General features: G+C 50.9%; 1 protein-coding gene across 5 annotated transcripts; it reads left to right on the forward strand.

Moving 5' to 3' along the window:
* Positions 4,738-18,687, forward strand: CYP2F1 (cytochrome P450 family 2 subfamily F member 1). Of its 5 annotated transcripts, none has more exons than NR_135528.2 (10): positions 4,738-4,798; positions 6,484-6,665; positions 6,761-6,923; positions 10,653-10,802; positions 11,764-11,924; positions 12,263-12,439; positions 13,128-13,211; positions 15,025-15,212; positions 15,799-15,940; positions 18,207-18,687. NR_135528.2 is itself a non-coding variant. In NM_000774.5 (10 exons), exons 2-10 carry the CDS (start codon positions 6,495-6,497, stop codon positions 18,386-18,388), a joined length of 1,476 nt encoding a protein of 491 aa, NP_000765.2. In that variant the 5' UTR covers positions 4,738-4,798; positions 6,484-6,494; the 3' UTR covers positions 18,389-18,687. The 5 variants fall into 5 exon arrangements, 4 of the variants coding, with proteins under 4 accessions (NP_000765.2, XP_047294236.1, XP_047294237.1 ...); NM_000774.5 differs by having other exon boundaries at positions 13,128-13,269; XM_047438280.1 differs by lacking the exons at positions 15,025-15,212; positions 15,799-15,940 and having other exon boundaries at positions 13,128-13,269.

Consider the following 20,759-nt stretch of genomic DNA (forward strand, 5'->3'; position numbering starts at 1 on the left):
ACAGGCATGAGCCACCATGCCCGGCCAGCTTATTGGCTCTTTATGAAAAATATTCAATAGAGAGAAGAAAACAAATCACACAGGAAATGAAAACATGACACAGCCACTTTGGAAAAGAGTTTGGAAGTTTCTTATAAATATACACTCATCATAGAACCCAGCAGTCACACTCACAGATATATCCAGATACACGAAACATAGATCCCCACAAAGACATATGCATATATGCCAAGAATAATACATATTATTCAAAATAGCCAGACCTTGGGAACAATCCACATTTCCATCAACTGGTGAAAAGCAAATTGTGGCACATCTATATGCGGTGACATGCTACTCTGCAATGAAAAGGAATGAGCTTCTGATGTATGTAACACATGGTTAACTCTCAAAAGCATTACGTATGCTTCCCAGAAGCAGGCTTGGTATATGGAAGAAATGCTGTAGATTTTCTTTTCTTTTTTTTTTTTTTGAGACGGAGTCTCGCTCTGTCGCCCAGGCTGGAGTACAGTGGCATGATCTTGGCTCACTGCCACCTCCGCCTCCCAGGTTCAAGTGATTCTCCTGCCTCAGGCTCCCGACTAGCTGGGATTACAGGCACCCTCCATCAAGTCCAGCTAATTTTTGTATTTTTCATAGAGAGAGGGGTTCACCACGTTGGCCAGGCTGGTCTCAAATTCCTGACCTCAGGTGATCCACCCGCCTCAGCCTCCCAAAAAGCTAAGATTACAGGCGTGAGCCACCATGCCCAGCCGTAGATTTTCATTTATATGAAATGTAGATCAATAGTGGGAAGAAAAAACTAGAACAGGGCTGGATGCAGTGGCTCAAGCCTGTAATCCCAGCACTCTGGGAGGCTGAGGCAGAAGGATTGCTTGAGCCCAGGAGTTCGAGATCAGCCTGGGCAACATAGGGAGACCTCTGCCTCTACAAAAAATTTTTAAATTAGCCAGTTGTGATGGCACAGGCCTCTACTTCCAGCTACTCAGGAGGCTGAGGCCGGGGGATCATTTGAGCCAGGGAGGTCAAGGTTGCAGTGAACAATGATCACACCACTGCACTCCAGCCTGGGGGACAGAGCAAGACCCTGTCTCAAAAGAAGAGAAAAAAACCTAGAACAATGGTTGCCCACAAGAGATGGAGCATGGTTGACTAGGAAGGAGTAGGAAGGAGGGTTCTCTTTTCATTATTATTATTACTTTAGAGAAGGGAGTCTCTCTTTGTCACCCAGGCTGGAGTGCAGGGGTGTGTTCATAGCTCACTGTAGCCTGGAACTCCTGGGTGCAAGTGATCTTCCACCTCAGCCCCTTGAGTAGCTGGGATTACAAGCGTGCACCACCACACTTAGCTATTGTTTTTTTCTTTTTTTTAGTAGAGACAGGGGTCTCGCAATGTTGCACAGCCTGGTCTCAAATTTCTGGCCTCTAGTGATCCTTCCACCTCAGCCTCCTATAGCTAGGATTATAGGCACAAACCACCACGCCCAGCTCCAAGAGAACTTTCTTGGATGATGAAAATATTCTGTATCTTCACAGGGATTTCGATACCTTCAAAATTCAGCAAATGTTCACTTACCATGTGTGTATTTCATCACAGGTAAATTTTACCTAAAGAAATCGTTAAGGGAAAACTCCATCTACACACCTTCACAGGAACTATGACACAGTAAATAGAATCAAGTCCTCCAGTTGGCGATGGAATGGGATCTGGCACACCAGAAGGGGGCTCACCTAAGCCTGACATGGGACACTGTGTGGTTCTAGCAGGAAGGAAGGCTGCATGTGCCGTCCAGATGCCAGTGGGCAAGAGGACAGGATGATGGAGGATGCGCCCGCTTACTGCCCATTGCTGCCATTCTCTCCGTGAGATAAGAAGCGGGTTCATCAACAAAGAGTGAGGTGACTGAAGAGGGTTTTGGAGTTTGAGGAGGCAGGAACAAAAGGATAGGAATAGGGCGGGGGGAGTTCCAAGAGAGGACAATGAGAGGCGAGGCATTTTTCCACCACGGAGTGTGTTTCAGCTTTCTGCAATACCCCAGCGGTTCTCAACTGGGTTGATTTTTTTCCTCCCAAGGGGACATTCAATAGTATCTGGAGTCATGTTTGTTTGTAACAACTGGTAGGGAATGAGTGGGTGGGTTCTGTCATCTACTGAGTAGAAACCAAGGACACTGCTAAACATCCTACCACACACAGGATGCAGCCCCCACCACCCATGAAGGCCCAAGACATCAACAGCAGTGAGTTGAGAAATTGCAATACATCCCTTCCTTGCCCCAAGTTCCCTCTGTAGCAGGAGAGCAAGTCAGAATAACAGAACTCAAAGCCTCTTAAAACCCCCCTTCTCGGCCACACATGGTGGCTCACGCCTGTAATCCCCAGAGGCCCAGGTGGGAGGATCGCTTGAGCCCAGGAGTTGGGGACCAGACTGGGTGACATAGCATGCTAGATCTCATCTCTACTAAAAATTTTAAAAATTAGCCAGGTGTGGTGATGCGTGCTTGTAGTCCCAGCTACTTGGGAAGCTGAGGCAGGAGAATCCCTTAAGCCCAGGAGATCGAGGCTGCAATGAGCTATGATCACACCACTAAACTCCAGTCTGGGTGACAGAGTGAGACCCTGTGTCAAAACAAACTAACTAACTGCCCTTCCCATAAATCCCAGTTTCCCCAATCAGGTGGTCCCATTAGGCCCATCTTTTTTTTCTTTTTTTTTCTTTTTTTTGAGTCAAAGTTTCACTCTTGTTGCCCAGGCTGGAGTGCAATGGTACAATCTCAGCTCACTGCAACCTCCACCTCCCGGGTTCAAGTGATTCTCCTGCCTCAGCCTCCTGAGTAGCTGGGATTATAGGCAAGCACCACCACGCCTGGCTAATTTTTTTTGTATTTTTAGTAGAGACAGGGTTTTGCCATGTTGGTCAGGCTGTCTCAAACTCCTGACCTCAGGTGATCCACCCACCTCGGCCTCCCAAAGTGCTGGGATTACAGGCATGAGCCACCACGCCCAGCCTCATTAGGCCCCTCTTAACCAAGTTCTAGGGTGAGGGATAAGTTGCTTACAGGGTTGGCGTGGATACAGCACTACACCCTCCCCTTAAAAGTAGGGAGTAGACGCCAAGGGAAACTAGAGCTATATAATCCCATCATCAAGCCTTCAGCCCTCTTCCAGGACCTGCCCCAACCGGCCTATCCAGGACTGAAACAACAGCATGGGCCCCACCTCCACCCCACCATATGCCTGGGACCTAGGGTGTCAAATTCCCCAGGACCTCCAAACACTTCCTCCTCTGCCCCTCTGAGAACAGCAATCCTGGTGCACACCCACGAACCTGTGGGGGTACCCACACCTCCACCTGGCCTCCCAGACCCTTGACCGCAGGGGCTCTCCACCCAGCCTAGCCCCTGGCACCAGAGCCCTGGCCCAGCTCCAGGTTTTGCATTCTGCCCTTGTGACCTGGCCAGGAGGTGGGTAACTAGGGCCAGTTTCTTCTTCTTTTTTTTTTTTTTTTTTTTTTGAGACCGAGTCTCACCCTGTTGCCCAGGCTGGAGTGCAGTGGCATGTTCTTAGCTCACTGCAACCTCCACCTCCCGGGTTCAAGCGATTCTCCTGCCCCAGCCTCCCAAGTAGCTCAGACTACAGGCGTGAGCCACCATGCCTGGCTAATTTTTGTATTATTAGTAGAGACAGGGTTTCACCATGTTGGCCAGGCTGGTCTTGAACTCCTGACCTCAGGTGATCCACCCACCTCGGCCTCCCAAAGTGCTGGGATTACAGGCGTGAGCCACTGCGCCTGGCCTACTAGGGTGAGTTTCTAAGGCAGGAGCTGAGAGTAGACATGGCTAGTAGGGTGCTCAGGAGGGCAGGAGGAGGGCTGTTTATGAGCCAGTGGTGGGAGAGAGTGTCATTCTAGTCTGAGAGGCTTTTTCCCTGTGGCTTCCAGCTCTGCCCTTTTCTTAAACACTCCTTCAGCCTCAGCTTGGCTTCAGTCCCACCAAGTGCAGTCTGACTCGTGGAGACATGAGAGATAGAGAGAGTGAGAGACCAGAGAGATCAGGAGACAGTGACTGAGAGGGACTTACAGGGAGATCAGGGAGAGAAGCAGAGAGAAGGAGAAAGCCCAGAGAGCATAAGAAATGAAGACCCAGAGACACCAAAGGAGGGAGAGACAGAGACACAGAGAGACAAAAAGATTCAGAGGCAGAGACTGTAGAGGCAGAAGCAAAGCAAGACACAGAGCATTTCAGAGACCCACGGCAAGAGACAGGGAACAGCATGGAGAACTATGAAAAAATAGGCTTCCAGAGAAAGAGAAAACTCCAGCTCTGGAGGGAAAGGGACTTAGCCAGGGCCACTCGGCCCATCAGTGGCAGAAATGGACTTGAACCCAGAGAAAAAGAAACAAGTGCCCCAAATACCAAAGGAACCCAGCCCCCATCCCTGGCCCATCATTTTGCGACAGCCCCATGACTACCCCAAAACCAGGCCCAGGCTCCAACTGGCAAAGCAAAAAAAAAAAACAAAGAAAGAAAGAAAGCTTTGCCCCATCCCAGGAGGGCCCCCAGGCGCAGCCCCCTCCCACGGCACCTTTCCAGCTGGCTGTGAGCCCTAGGGCCGCAGGAAAGGTATGGCAAGATGATGGGAGGGATTTAAAGTTCACAGCGAGAACAAGAAAAGTGGGGTTAAGGAGGAGGGTGTGGGCAGAAACAACTTAAGAACAACCTCTGCCCCACCACCCCCCAAGCACACCCAGAGCTGCAGGCTCTAGCGCATCCCAGCCAGTGTCTCCTGCAGCTCAGCAGGTAAAGGGCCCCGGTGAGGGAGGCAGAGAAGGAGGGGGTGTCTCCCAAGAGAGGGTGGGTCGCCAGCTCCAATCTCTGTCTCTGAGACTGGCTAGGAATCTTTTTTGCTGTTTCCTCTGAGAGCTCTCATGTCCCTGTTCTGAGCACTGGGATTTCTTTACTGGTGCTTCACCAAGTAGGTGGCTTCTCTCTCTGCAATGCAACCCCATGGTTGGCAACACTTGATTTTTTCCTGTCACTGTTTCTGCCTGTGCCCTTCCTCTCTGTCTCCGTCTCTTTCTCTCTCTCTCTCTCTCTTTTTTTTTTTTTTTTTTTTTTTGAGGCTGGAGTGCAGTGGTTCAATCTCAGCTCACTGCAACCTCCACCTCCTGGGTTCAAGCGATTCTCCTGCCTCAGCCTCCTGAGTAGCTGGGATTACAGGTGCCTAACACCACGCCTGACTAATTTTTGTGTTTTTAGTAGAGACAGGGTTTCACCATGTTGGCCAGGCTGGTCTCAAACTCCTGACCTCAAGTGATCCGCCTGCCTCGGCCTCCCAGAGTGCTGGGATTACAGGCGTGAGCCACCGTGCCCGGCCTCAGTCTCTCTTGGTCTGCCCTTTGCAGCCTACCCGTCTCTTTGTGTGGCTCTAATATTCCCTGCCTCTCTTATTCTCTCTCTCTCTCTCTCCATCTCTGTCTATGTGACTCTGTCTTTGTGTATCTGTTTCTGTCTGTCATTCTCGTCTCCCTCAGTCTCTGTGTCTAGCTCTGTCTCTCCCTCTCTCTGTCCCTCTTACCCTTTTTCTCTCCATCCTTCCATGTCCCTCTCTGTCTCTCAGTCAGTGTCCATCTCACTGTCTCTCCACTCAATCTCCCTTGTCTTTCTCTAGCTCTGTGTCTGTCTAGTTCTGTCTCTTTCTTTCTCTAGTCTATGTCAGCCTCTCTCTTTCTGTGATGTGCTCTCTGGCTCTCCCTATCTCTGTGTTTGTCTGTCTCTGTCCCTGTGTGTCTTGATCTCTCTTTATCACTGTCTCTGTATGACAGTCTCTTGACAGACAGGTGATGATAGATAGATAATAGACAGATGATACACAGATGATAGATTATGAAGATAGTAGATAGATGATAGATATAGATAGATAATAGATGATAGATAATAGACAGATCAATGATAGATGATAGAAGAATAGATAGATGATGGATAGACAGATGATAGATGATAGATAGATAGATAGATGATAGATAGATGTTGATAGATGTTAGATAATAGATGAGAAACAAAGAAAGAAAGAAAAAGAAAAAAGAAAGAAAGAAAAAGAAAGGAAGGAAGGAAGGAAAGAAAGAGTGATAGATGATAGATGGCTGATAGGTAGACAGACATCTGTAGATATGTAGATCGCTCACTGTTTTTCTGTCTCTCTCATTATCTTTATGCATATCTCTTGGCCTCTCTTAGTCTCTGTTCCTCTATCACTTGCCTCTCTCCATTTATGTCTCTGTGTTTCTGTCTCCTTATCTGTCTATATGTTGACTATCTCTGCCTCTTTCCTCCTTTCTCCCTCCCTTCCCCATCCCCTGGCCTCTCCCTGTCTCCTTCTCTCCATCTGCCTTCATTTCCAGGGCCTAGGGAAGGTAAGTCCCAGGGGAGATGGAAAGGAGGGATCAGCGATGTCCTCTCCCACTTTGCCCTCCACACGCCAGCAGCTGCCTTCACCATGGACAGCATAAGCACAGCCATCTTACTCCTGCTCCTGGCTCTCGTCTGTCTGCTCCTGACCCTAAGCTCAAGAGATAAGGGAAAGCTGCCTCCGGGACCCAGACCCCTCTCAATCCTGGGAAACCTGCTGCTGCTTTGCTCCCAAGACATGCTGACTTCTCTCACTAAGGTGCAAGGCCCTTAGCTTGGGTGATGGTGGAAGGATAAGGAGGAGGGGTCCCATGGCCACAGGCCCCCCTGTAACTTCTGTCTTCCTACCCTCAGCTGAGCAAGGAGTATGGCTCCATGTACACAGTGCACCTGGGACCCAGGCGGGTGGTGGTCCTCAGCGGGTACCAAGCTGTGAAGGAGGCCCTGGTGGACCAGGGAGAGGAGTTTAGTGGCCGCGGTGACTACCCTGCCTTTTTCAACTTTACCAAGGGCAATGGTAAGCCTCGTCCTTGTCTCCTCCGCTCTCGGCCTTTTCCATATTGAGGGAGGGGGTGAGGGTGAGAGACTGTTGTCTCAATCTTGTTGACACTCAGGGCTGCTGACATCACTGATGACACCAAATGCAATGCAGCGAGGCAGTGTTGGTCTATGGCAAATTCTCTCCCACCTTCCTCACCTCCAGATCCCACCACTTTCCTGAATTGTACTCTTGCACCACTCCTCATCTCCATCCAACCCCAACCCCATTGTCATCCCAATCCCTAGCTCTATCCCAACCGCATCATCAACTTTCCAACTCAGTCAAGTGGCCCCAGTTCCCACTGACCACCTCAACCCAATCCCAGTCCCCATCAACCTTTCCCCAGTGTTCACCACATCAGCCCCACCTTCATCCCTATCCACAACACTGACAGCATCTCAATCCAACCTTCATTCCCATTATGAACCCCATCCCAGTCCCCACTTTAAATTCTATTATCAACCCCATCCTAGTCCCTTTAGTCAAACTGAATTTTTTTTTTTTATCTGAGATGAGTCTTGCTCTGTCACCCAGGCCGGAGTGAAGTGGCACAATCTCGGCCCACTGCAACCTCTGCCTCCCAGGCTCATGCGATTCTCCTGCCTCAGCCTCCTGAGTAGCTGGGACTACAGGTGCACACTACCACACCTGGTTAATGTTTTGTATTTTTAGTAGAGATGGGGTTTTGCCATGTTGGTCAGGCTGGTCTCAAACTCCTAACCTCAGGTGATCCACCTACCTCGGCATCCCAACGTGCTGGGATTACAGGCAAGAGCCACTGCTCCTGGCCCAAACTGAATTCTGCTGCTACTTTCCCCCAATCCCAGCCCCATCTCCTAACCCAATTACCTATTGAAATTTCCAGTTCCCAGTTCTTGCTTTCAATCTTAAACTCACTACCATCACCAAAACAACCCCATCACATATCTACCCAACCCCAAGTTCAAGCTCAGTCCCAATCTATCAATCCTCCTCATCCTACCCAACTCCATCCACATCACCAGCTTCAAATACAATTTATCATCAATCTTATAACCCCCTTCATTCCCCATTGTCATTCCCAACCTAACCCAAACTCAACTCCATCCTCAGCCATCCAGCAATTCATATCATTCACTTAAAACCTCATCTATGTCAATATCTTGTCCCTCTAAGGCTTGGAATCACCCTAGTCCTGTGGTCTTCAAACTTTATTTATTTATTTATTTATTTATTTATTTATTTTTGAGATGGAGTCTCGTTCTGTTGCCCAGGCTGGAAAGCAATGACGCAATCTCAGCTCACTGCAATCTCCGCCTCCCAGGTTGATGCCATTCTCCTGCCTCAGCCTCCTGAGTAGCTGGGACTACAGACACCTGCCACCATGCCCAGCTAATTTTTGTATTTTTAGTAGAGACTGGGTTTCACCATGTTGGCCAGGCTGGTCTTGAATGCCTGACCTCATGATCCAGCAGCCTCAGACTCCCAAAGTGCTGGGATTACAGGTGTGAGCCACTGCACCCAGCCCCAAACTTTATTTCAAAGACAAATCTCTGTTCAAAGGAAGCTATGTGACAAGACCCAATAAATGATGGAAGGAAGGAGGGACCAACAGAAGGAAGGAGGAAGAAAGGAAAAAGGAAAGAAGGAAGGAAAGGAAGGAGGGAGGGAGGGAAAGAATGAAGGAAGGAAGGAAGGATGGAAGGAAGCCATCATGATTGGAAAGGGGATCCTGGAGACCTGCATCCTGGACTATTCTCTCCTCACCTCCAAAGAATGTCTAGGGCTCTCCCTGGCTCCTGCATTAGATGGGTCCCAGCTGCCCCAGGATTTGAAATCAGAGAGCTCTGGTACAATATTACAATATTACAATATTGTGTATTAGGTACACGTTCCATCCTTCATGCTCCCTTCCCTGGCTTGATCTGATGACCTTACCTGTCCAGGTACACCAGATGCAAAGAGGTGGAGACAGGGCACTTGAGAAAGTCACCTTGCTACTTTTGCACAGAAAACATCTGGATGGGTACATCGTTTGTTACCAAAAATAGCCACCATCTAGTTATTCAATACACAGCACAGAGGGTAACAGCAGGGTTCCACCACTCACTAGCTGTGTACCCTTGGGCCAGAGGCCTCCCTTCTCTTCCTCTTAGTTTGCTACCATGAGAAAATTATAATAGCATTAACTCCATGTTATGAGGAGTCAATGAGACAATGCATAAAAATGCAGGCAATACACTATAGTCTTTTTTCTCTTCTTCTTTAGTATCTAGTTCTCTGCTAGGTCCAGAGGAACCAGAGATAAACACATCTGAGACTTTATCCTATAGTAGGTCCCAGTCCAGTGGAAGACACAGGCATCACCAACCAGATTGTGCCATCCCAGAGTGGTCCAGGCTGGGATGGGGGAAGCCTGGGGAGCTATGGAAACCCTAGAGAAACACTTGGCCCAGCCTAGAAGGGAGGAGGAGCCAGAGAAGGCTTCCTGGAAGAGGGGACCTCTAAGCTGAAACCTAAAGAATGAAGATGAGTATTCAGGAGAAGGCAGGGGGTGAAAGTGCTCTGGGAAAGACCAGCCTGTGCAAAGATTCTGGGTCCAGGAAGAGAAGAGACGGGGTCTGTTTTGTTCCTGGATGAATTCCCAGTGTCCTGGTGCTTATTTTTCTTGCCTATCTCTCTTATTCATGCATTTAATAATCAATAAGCAGGCCAGGCACGATGGCTCACACCTGTAATCCCAGCACTTTGGGAGGCCGAGGTGAGTGGATCTCCTGAGGTCAGGAGTTTGGTACCAGCCTGGCCAACATGGTGAAACCTCATCTCTATTAAAAATACAAAAATTAGGCCAGGCGCAGTGGCTCATGCCTGTAATCCCAGCACTGTGGGAGGCCAAGACGGGTGGATCACGAGGTCAGGAGATCGAGACCATCCTTGCCATGCCTGTAATCCCAGCTACTGGGGAGGCTGAGGCAGAAGAATTGCTTGAACCCGGGAGGCGGAGGTTGCAGTAAGCTGAGATTGTGCCACTGCACTCCAGCCTGGCAACAGAGCAAGACTCCGTCTCTCTCTCTCTCTCTCTCTCTCTCTCTCTCTCTCTCTCTATATATATATATATATATATATATACACACACACACACACACACACACACACACACACACATATATATTAGGTGGGCGTGGTGGTGCACACCTGTAATCCCAGCTAGTCAGGAGGCTGAGGCAGGAGAATCACCTGAACCCGGGAGGCGGAGGGTGCAGCAAGCTGAGATGGTGTCACTGCACTCCAGCCTGGGTAACAGAGCGAGACTGTGTCGCAAAAAATAATAATCATCATCAATAAGTAATCACCAGCACCTCCTGTGTGACACCCTCTGCACTGGACAATGCTAAGGACCCAGTGGTGACCAAGACAGGCACCCACTCTGCCTTCACAGTTCTGTGAAGGAGACAGCCCCATCACCAGACAGTAACAGCCCAGAGTGATCAGGTTCTTAATGGGGAAACAGAGGCAGAGTGATAGGATGGTCGTGAGGGAAGCCCATGGTCCTATGGAAGCTTGAAGGAGACCCCTAAGCTGGAGGGTCCAGAAGGGCTTACTGGAAGGAGCCAGGGAGATTCCAAACTCTGTCTCTCTCCCAGCAAATACCATGAAAGGGGACCTGGGTGGCAGTGGCCTCAGGATGAGTTCCCGGTTAAGCTGGTCCCCTCCTCTTCTCCCCAGGCATCGCCTTCTCCAGTGGGGATCGATGGAAGGTCCTGAGACAGTTCTCTATCCAGATTCTACGGAATTTCGGGATGGGGAAGAGAAGCATTGAGGAGCGAATCCTAGAGGAGGGCAGCTTCCTGCTGGCGGAGCTGCGGAAAACTGAAGGTCAGGAATTTTTTTTAACAGGCTGGATGGCACGATCTTTTTTTTTTTTAACAGGCTGGATGGCAGCCTTGACCTCCTGGGCCCAAACCATCCTCCCACCTCAACCTCCCGAATAGCTGGTACTTCAGGTGTGCTCCACCACACCCAGCTTATTTTTAAATTTTTTGTAGAGACAGGGTCTCACTATGTTGCCCAGGCCAGTCTCAAACTCCTGTGTGCAAATGATCCTCTTGCCTCTGCCTCCCAGAGTGCTGGAACTATAGGCATACACCACCATGTCTGGCCAGGTCTTTGAATCCAGTTCATCCTTATAATTCACATCCATTCTACTTTTTTTTTTTTGAGACAGAGTCTCGCTCTGTCCCCCAGGCTGGAGTGCAATGGTGTGATCTCAGCTCATTGCAACCTCCGCCTCCTGAGTTCAAGCGATTCTGCTTGCTGACTGCTCTGTCGCCCAGGCTGGGTTGCTGTGTACTAGCGTGTGTTGTGTGGCAGGATTATGTAGCTGTATGCTGGCTTTATGTGTTGGTGTGTGGTTACCGTGTCTTGGGATGTTTCCGGGCTGGCTGTTAGGTCACTGCGTGTCGTGTGTTGGCATGTACTGTGATCGTATTTGCTGGGTGTTCTGTTGCCCTGTGTTGTTGTGTTCCGTGATGCCTGATGATTGCCTTGTGCTATGTCGCGTGCTGTGTGTTGTGTTGCCAAGAATAGCCCGTTCTGTGGTTGGGCGTTGTTGCTGTCGATGTGCTGCAGGAAGTTGTGGGTTCGGTGCCGTCTGTGGCATTGACAGATGCTTTTGGGGTGTCGTTAAGCAGCATGTTGTGACCATGTCCCCGTGTTTGCACCGTAAGACACGTTGCCATGGTTGAGTCGGATGTTGTACAAATTAATGGTGTTGCTGCATGAGGTCTGGTGTGCTGCACATCGCGTCTTCCTGATCCATTGCACTCCTTACCCTCAGGCGAGCCCTTTGACCCCACGTTTGTGCTGAGTCGCTCAGTGTCCAACATTATCTGTTCCGTGCTCTTCGGCAGCCGCTTCGACTATGATGATGAGCGTCTGCTCACCATTATCCGCCTTATCAATGACAACTTCCAAATCATGAGCAGCCCCTGGGGCGAGGTCAGCCAACTGAGTCCAGCAGGGGCAGGGTGTGGGGTCCGCAGGATCTAGGAATGGAGAGGAAACAGTGGGCGGGGAAAGGGCTGTGAATGGCCCGCCCAGGGCCCGCCCCCTCCCATCTGACCCCACCCAGAGTTACACGGCCACGCCCACTCCCCTCCACTGAGCATTTATGGCCGCCATTGCCTCCTTCCCACTCCCCCTCAGCCCCAACCCCCACCCCGGACCTGGCTGCCCTTTGAGACCCTGTCCCTGCCTACCTAATCCACACTGACCCCATTCGCCCCTGAACACCCTTTGTCCTCCTCCAAAACCCTCCTACTCTGTCTGGTCCCCAGTTGTACGACATCTTCCCGAGCCTCCTGGACTGGGTGCCTGGGCCGCACCAACGCATCTTCCAGAACTTCAAGTGCCTGAGAGACCTCATCGCCCACAGCGTCCACGACCACCAGGCCTCGCTAGACCCCAGATCTCCCCGGGACTTCATCCAGTGCTTCCTCACCAAGATGGCAGAGGTAATCCCTACCTGGAAATCCCACCTCTAGTCTGACCTGAAATTCTCCTGCTGCCCCTGCCTCAAACCCACAGGGACCCCAGATGGGGCAGGGTTGGGGGACCTTCTCCCTGGAGAAGCTGAAGCATCTGGCCCAGCTGGGCTGGAGCCAGGAGCCACTCGCAGCCACCGCCAACTTACAGCTCATTAAGAAGTCATCAAAGGAGGTGGGGCAGGGTGGAGGGGGCAGTTGCTCAGGCTTGTTATCCCAGCACTTTGGAAGGCCGAGGCAGGAGGATCGCTTGAGTCCAGGAGTTCGAGACCAGCCTGGACAATATAGTAAGACCCAGTCTCTACAACACATACGTACACACATACATACACACACACATACATACATACATACACACACACATACACACATACATACATACATCATACATACATACACACATACATACATACACACATACATACATAAAACGTATTTTTTAAAAAAACAAGAAGTCATTCAAGCTCTATCCAAGAAGTTAATTGTAGGCCCTGCAGCTGAGATTTTCCCTGCCCTGCCCTTCTCCGTTCCCCAGCTCTCCCAGGGAAAGAAAGTTAAACCCAGCTGGGACCGAATGGGCCCCCAGCAGCAGTTGTACTGGTCTAGAGTGAAGGGGCCTCCATTCCTGGCTCACATCCCCACCCCTCTACCAATGCAGGAGAAGGAGGACCCACTGAGCCACTTCCACATGGATACCCTGCTGATGACCACACATAACCTGCTCTTTGGCGGCACCAAGACGGTGAGCACCACGCTGCACCACGCCTTCCTGGCACTCATGAAGTACCCAAAAGTTCAAGGTGAGGCCCACCCACACAGCAGCGTGGAGGTGCCCATGTGTTCCAGCCTCACCCCAGAGCAGGGAGCCACGGCCCCGCCTCCCAGGTCTGATATAGCCTCCTGCTGGCACCAGGATTCCACAGCCAAACCCACAAACCCACACGGAGGCCGATCCCACCACATGGCCCATGAGGTCCATGCAGCCTGCCCGAATCCCGACCCAGATCCCACCCGCTTAATTGTTGGTTTTTTTGTCTTTGTTTTGTTTTTTGGAGACGGAGTCTGGCTCTGTCACCCAGGCTGGAGTGCAGTGGCGTGATCTCGATCCGCTCACTGCAACCTCCCCCTCCCGAGTTCAAGGGATTCTCCTGCCTCAGCCTCCCAAGTAGCTGGGATTACAGCCTCCCAAGTAGCTGGGATTACACCACCACATCCAGCTAATTTTTCTATTTTTAGTAGAGACAGGGTTTCACCAAGTTGGCCAGGCTGGTCTCAAACTCCTGGCCTCAAGTGATCCACCTGCCTCAGCCTCCCAAAGTGCTGGGATTACAGGCGTGAGCCACTACACCCAGCTCTGCTTAGTTTTTTGTTTGTTTTTGAGACAGACTCACTCTGTCGCCCAGGCTGGAGTACAGTGCCGTAATTACAGCTCACTGCAGCCCCTTGGGCTCAAGCAATCTCCCCACCTCCGCCTTATCAATAGCTGGGAGTACAGGCGTGCACCACCACACTCAATACACTCAGCTAATTTTTTATTTTTTGTAGAGACAGGGTCTCGCTGTGTTGCCCTGGCTGGTCCCCAACTCCTGGGCTCAAGCAATCCTCTCACCTTGGCCTCCCAAAGTGCTGGGGTTACAGGTGTGAGCCACCGCTCCTGCCTCCACCCGCTTAGTCTTGCTTTGTGCCGAGTGCGTCAACCACCACATGCGTCCACCTCCGGCTTCAGAGCCCTGCCCTGGAGCCCCAGCCATGTGCCTGCCAGGGAACCCTACCTCTCCCATGCAGCCTGGCCCACACACACAGCTCTGTCTGCTGCTCCACCTCCCCAAGCTCCATCTCTGGGTGTATCCCCTGCTCTGCCCCTGATCTCCAGCCCTCCCACACAGTCCACCCACTCGACCTACCGTCCAGCCAGTAGAGCCCCAAAACTGCTCCTGAAATCCCATCAGGTCCTGGATTCCAGGCCTCCCTGAAGCCCTGCCCACACAACCCAACACTCAGGCCCTTGCACAAGCCAAGCTTTCGCCCTCACTGACCCACTTCCTCCCAGACCCTGGCTAATTCTTTTTTTTTTTTCCTCTTCCCCCCCCCCTTTTTTTTTTTTTTTTTTTTTTTTTTGAGACGGAATCTTGCTCTGTCACCCAGGCTGAAGTGCAGTGGCCTGATCCCAGCTCACTGCAACCTCCTCCTCCTGGGTTCAAGTGATTCTCCTGCCTCAGCCTCCCAAGCAGCTGGGACCACAGGTGTGCGCCACCAAGCCCAGCTAATTTTTCTATTTTGTTGTGGAGATTGGGTTTCACCATGTTGCCCAGATGGTCTCAAACTCCTGGGCTCAAGCGATCCGTCCGCCTGGGCCTCCCAAGTGCTGGGATTACAGGCGTGAGCCACCGCGCCCGGCCAGCTCTAGCTAATTCTCACGTGCGCCCCAGCAGTGGCGCCCCGCGCTGGGAGACTTTGACTAGACGCCTCCCCACACACGCACACACCTCTTATCAGCCTGGTTGCCCTGTCGCGCCCGCTGATACCCTCGACCCCGCTTCCCGCTTCCTCTCCAGCCCGCGTGCAGGAGGAGATCGACCTCGTGGTGGGACGCGCGCGGCTGCCGGCGCTGAAGGACCGCGCGGCCATGCCTTACACAGACGCGGTGATCCACGAGGTGCAGCGCTTTGCAGACATCATCCCCATGAACTTGCCGCACCGCGTCACTAGGGACACGGCCTTTCGCGGCTTCCTGATACCCAAGGTGCGCTAGGCCTGGCAAACGACATCAGGCAACCTAAGAGGAGGCATCGCAGGCTCTTGCACTGGCAAGGAGTATCCCAGGCACTAGCCATGAACACCCCAGGCCTTAGCAACTGGCATCCCAAGCCCTAGCTACAGACATCTCAGACCCTTAAATCCAGAAGCTCAGGCCTTTGCCAGGACCCCATCTCATATCATAGTGGACTAGACCCCTTCACCATGACAAATCCCCTTCCTAGAACCCCTCCCTGGAAGCCCTGGGGTCTGGAACTTCATCTGGAGGATCCCCTGGGCCTAAACGCTATTCTCAGGGACCCCTCCTTTTCCCCAGAAACCCCACATCTGTTCCCACAAAGGTTGGGGGTTTCCCACATCCCTGCCAAAGTCCCCAATAATACAGCATATAGCACCCATCACTTGGAACCCTAGACACCCACACATATTTCCTTGGCCCCCGATTGAGTCCTATACCCACCTATACCCACCCCTTATCAAGTCCCCAGGACACCCAGCCCAATACAATGGAAAGGAGTTTGGGAGCCTCCCAGCCCTCCTACACTGCTAAGTCCACCTCCTCACCCACACAGGGCACCGATGTCATCACCCTCCTTAACACCGTCCACTACGACCCCAGCCAGTTCCTGACGCCCCAGGAGTTCAACCCCGAGCATTTTTTGGATGCCAATCAGTCCTTCAAGAAGAGTCCAGCCTTCATGCCCTTCTCAGCTGGTGAGGGCAGGAATCAGAGTCTTTCTGGCCCAATTTCTACCTACATTCCTCACCCTAATTCCACTTGCCAAATCCTCTCACTCCTTCCTTCCACCCATTCTCAGCTTTGGATGCACAGAGACATTCATTCCTCCTCTCAACTCTGCTCCTATAGGCAAGTAGTGACTAAAATCCTCGTGAAGCAAGGTGGGGAGGTTGATTAATAATTTAACTTGGGACTGGGCATGGTGACTCACACCTGTAATCCCAGCACTTTGGGAGGCTGAGGTGGGTGGATCGCCTGAGGTCAGGAGTTCGAGACCAGCCTGACCAATATGGTGAAACCCTGTCTCTACTTAAAATACAAAAATTAGCTGGGTGTGGTGGTGGGCGCATGTAGTCCCCGCTACTCTGGAGGCTGAGACAGGAAAATCACTTGAACCCAGGAGGCGGAGGTTGCAGTGAGCCGAGATTGCACCATTGTACAGAGAGAGACTCTGTCTCAAAAAAAATAATGATAATAATTTAACAGCCAGGGGCAGTTGCTCACACCTGTAATCCCAGCACTTTGGGAGATCTAGGCGGGCAGATTACCTGAAGTCAGGAGTTCAAGATTAGCCTGACCAACATGGTGAAACCCTGTCTCTACTAAAAATACAAAATTAGCCAGGAATGGTGGCACATGTTTGTAATCCCAGCTACTCTGGAGGCTGAGGCAGGAGAATCACTTGAACCCGGGAGGCGGAGGTTGCAGTGAGCCAAGATCATGTCATTGCACTCCAGCCTGGGCAACAAGAACAAAACTCCATCTCAAAAAATGAATAAATAATAATTATAATAATTATTATTTAACTTGGGCCAGGCACATTGGCTCACACCTGTAATCCCATCACTTTGGGAGGCTGAGGCGGGAGGATCGCTTGAGGCCAGGAGTTCAAGACCAGCCTGGACAACATGGCAAGACCCTTTCTCTACTGAAAATGTTAAAATTACCTAGATGTGGTGTGGTGTGCATCTGTGGTCCCAGCTACTTGGGAGGCTGAGGTGGGATGATCACTTGAGCTCAGGAGTTTGAGGTTACAGTGAGTATGATCATGCCACTGCACTCCAGTCTGGGCAACAGAGCGAGATCCTTTCTCTAAAATAAAAAATACTGACTAGCCAAAAATAAAAAATATATAAAAATTTTAAAAGAAAAAAAAATTGAACTTGGGAGTGGTCATTGTTTACCTCTCCACTGGGTGGCGCAGTTGAGGTGGTTCTAGGGGTTTTTGTTTTGTTTGTTTGTTTTTTGGCTTTCCTCTTTACCCTGCTGAAAAACTCCCTCTTTACTCAGTGGCAGGAAAAGAAAAAACAAAAAACTGGCATAATAATAGGTAACTTACCATATTGCCTACTGTGCGTCAAGTGCTGCCTCTACAAGAGCCCAGCTAAGAGCTTATGTTTTCCTCTGGGAATGTGTGGCCCAGATTCCAGCAGGGTTTGCATCCCATCTGTCACCCCCTAGCTGTGTTGCCTTGGGTATGTTACTCCACTTCTCTGTGCCTCAATGTCCACATCTATAAAATGGAGATAATACTAAGGCCTGCCTCTTGGAGTTGTTAGAATTAATTGCGATGTAATGCTCAGAGTAATGCATGGCCCATGGTAAGCTACTTACAGCCTCACTGCTTTCCCTGTGTTTACCATTCACAGCAGCCTCATGAGGCACTATTACTATCCCTCCTTTTATTTTTCTTTCTGAGACAGGGTCTTGCTGTCACCCAGGCTAGAGGGCAGTGGCACGATCATGGCTCACTGCAGCCTTGATCTCCTGGGCTCAAGTGATCCCCTCGCCTCAGCCTCCCAAGCAGCTGGGACTGCAGGCATGTGCCACCTTGCACATTTTTAAAATTTTTTTTGTAGAGATGGGATCTTGCTGTGTTGCCCAGGCTGCTCTCAAACTCCTGGGCTCAAGGGATCCTCTTCCCTCGGCCTCCGAAAATGCTGGGATTACAGGCCTAAGCCAGCACGCCCAGCCTTCATATCCCCATTTTAAATATCCAGAACGTGTGGTTTGTCCAGGATCACAAAACTAGTAGTGACAGGGCCAGGATTCGAACCCAAGCAGCCCAGGTCATTCCACTCCACAGTTTAAAGCATCTTTCCCAGTTCTTTACATGGGTGAATCTGTGACGTCCCCAGCTGCTGTCTTCCTTTCCTCTTATGTTTTCCTCTGGGAATGTGGGGTTGCAGCCTCTAACCTCATCTTATCTCACCGCCGCTCCCCATCCTGCCACCCCTGCAGGGCGCCGTCTGTGCCTGGGAGAGTCGCTGGCGCGCATGGAGCTCTTTCTGTACCTCACCGCCATCCTGCAGAGCTTTTCGCTGCAGCCGCTGGGTGCGCCCGAGGACATCGACCTGACCCCACTCAGCTCAGGTCTTGGCAATTTGCCGCGGCCTTTCCAGCTGTGCCTGCGCCCGCGCTAACGCCCCGGCCCTTCCAGATTCGCCTGTGAGCGATGAGGCCCGCCCATGCGGGTTGCTACGTCCCCTTCTTGGTCCACAGTCTGCCCTCATCCCTCTGGCAGTCACGCTGTCTTCCCTGCATGCTGTGCCTGCCGCGTGCCCTTCCCCCATCCCTCCAATCTGTGCCCCGTCTGCAGGGCAGAGGCAGATGTGGCATGTCTTTTTGTACCCACAGAGCTTGTTCTATGGCACGCCCTTTTCTAGGCTTTTTGTATCATTTCTTAGTACATTGTAATAGATTCAAACCAGTCTTGGCTGAATTAAAGTGAGAATGAGAGTCATTTAGGATGGGGAGAAGGGAGCTGGCTGCAGAGATGGAGACACTGGCTAGTTTTGCCCTCACCTTTAGGGTGGCTAGGGTGGGACAAATTGTATCCTGGAGACAGGCTTGAAGGTAAAGGCTGCGAGGACCTGAAGCCAGAGAGGCAGAGAAACCAAGACAGAGAAAAAGGCAGCAGGACCAGGTGAGGTGGCTCACACCTGTAATCCCAGCACTTTGGGAGGCTGAGGCGGGAGGATCGCTTGAACCCAGGAGTTTGAGACCGGCCTGGCAACAGAGTGAGGCCTGACTCTACAAAAAGTCAAAAAGTGGGGCAGGAGGATTGCTTGATCCTGGGAGGTCGAGGCTGCAATGGGGTATCATTGCGCCACTGCATTCCCGCCTGGGAGACGGGAGTGAGACCCTGTCAGAAGAAGAAAGAAAAAAGAAGAAGGAGAGGGAGAGGGAGAGGGAGGAGGGGGAGGAGGGAGAGGAGAGGAAGAAGAAGAAGAAGAGGAGGAGAAGGAAGAAGGAGACAGCAGCGAGATATCAGAGAGAATATGCAAGAGATGAAGGGCACTGCAGAGAGATGGAAGCAGGGCAAAGTGAGGCTAAGGAACAAGCACTGACACTAAATGACACTCCCTATTTGCACGCTGTTCTGAATGCCTCATTAAGTCTCCCTATGAGGCAAAGCCATGTTTTTTGCTTTGGTTTGATTTGGGAGGTTTTTTTTCTTTCTTTCTTTCTTTCTTTTTTCGAGACAGAGACTCGCTCTGTTGCCCAGGCTGGAGTGCGGTGGCGCGATCTTGGCTCACTGAAACCTCTGCCTCCCTGGTTCAAGTGATTCTCCTGCCTCAGCCTCCTGAGTAGCTGGAACTACGGGCATGTGCCACCACTCCCGATTAATTTTTTGTATTTTTAGTAGAGACAGGGTTTTACTGTGTTAGATAGGATGGTCTCAATCTCCTGACCTCGTGATCCGCCCACCTCGGCATCCCAAAGTGCTGGGATTACAGGTGTGAGCCACTGTGCCTGGCCTGTTTGTTTCTTTTATAGGCAGGGTCTCCCTCTGTTGCCTAGGCTGGAGTGCAATGGCACAATTCAAGGCTCACTGCAACCTTGAACTTCTGGGTTCAGCTGATCCTCCTGCTTCTGTTTCAGACCACCAAATAGCTGGGACTACAATCACCGTGCCTGGCTAATTTTTTTTTTTTTTTTAATCTTTAGTAGAGACAGAGTCTTGCAGTGTTGCCTAGGCTGGTCTTGAACTCCCGAACTAAGGCGATCCTCCCACCCAAAAAGCACTGGGATTACAGGCATGAGCCACCACACCTGGCCACAAAGCAGTATTATTATCATGTTTTTACAGATGAGCAAACTGAGGCTCAGAGAGGTGAAGTGAGTTGCCCAAGGTCACACAGAAACAGGCAGAGCTGGGATCTAAATTCAGACTCTGAGGCTACAGACACTGCACTTCTTTTCTTTTTTCTTCTTCTTTCTTTTTTTTTTTTTTTTTTCTTCCAAGAGAAGCTGTCACTCTGTCTCTCAGGCTGGGATGCAATGGCATAATCACAGCTCACTGCAATTTCAACCTCCCAGGCTGAAGAGATCCTTCCACTTTAGCTTTCTGAGTAGTTGGGACTACAGGCTGCACCACAACCACACCTGGTTAATTTGTTTTTATTTTTATTTTTTGAGTTATTTTTTGAGACAGAGTCTTGCTCTGTCACCCAGGCTGGAGTGCAGTGGCTCAATCTCAGCTCACTGCAACCTCCACCTCCTAGGTTCAGGCAATTTTTGTGCCTCAGCCTCCTGAGCAGCTGGGATTACAGGTGCCCGCCACCACACCCAGCTACCTTTTTTTTTTTTTTTTTTTTTTGTATTTTTAGTAGAGACAGGGTTTCACCATGTTGGCCAGGCTGGTCTCGAACTCTTGGGCTCAGGAGATCCACCCGCCTCAGCTTCCCAAAGTGCTGGGATTATGGGCGTAAGCCACTGCACCCAGCTGCTAATTTTTTTATTTTTAATTTTTGTAGAGGCAGTCTCACTATGTTGCCCAGGCTCGTCTCG

The sequence above is a fragment of the Homo sapiens genome, chromosome 19, assembly GCF_000001405.40.
Source record: "Homo sapiens chromosome 19, GRCh38.p14 Primary Assembly".
Taxonomy (NCBI): Eukaryota; Metazoa; Chordata; class Mammalia; order Primates; family Hominidae; genus Homo; species Homo sapiens.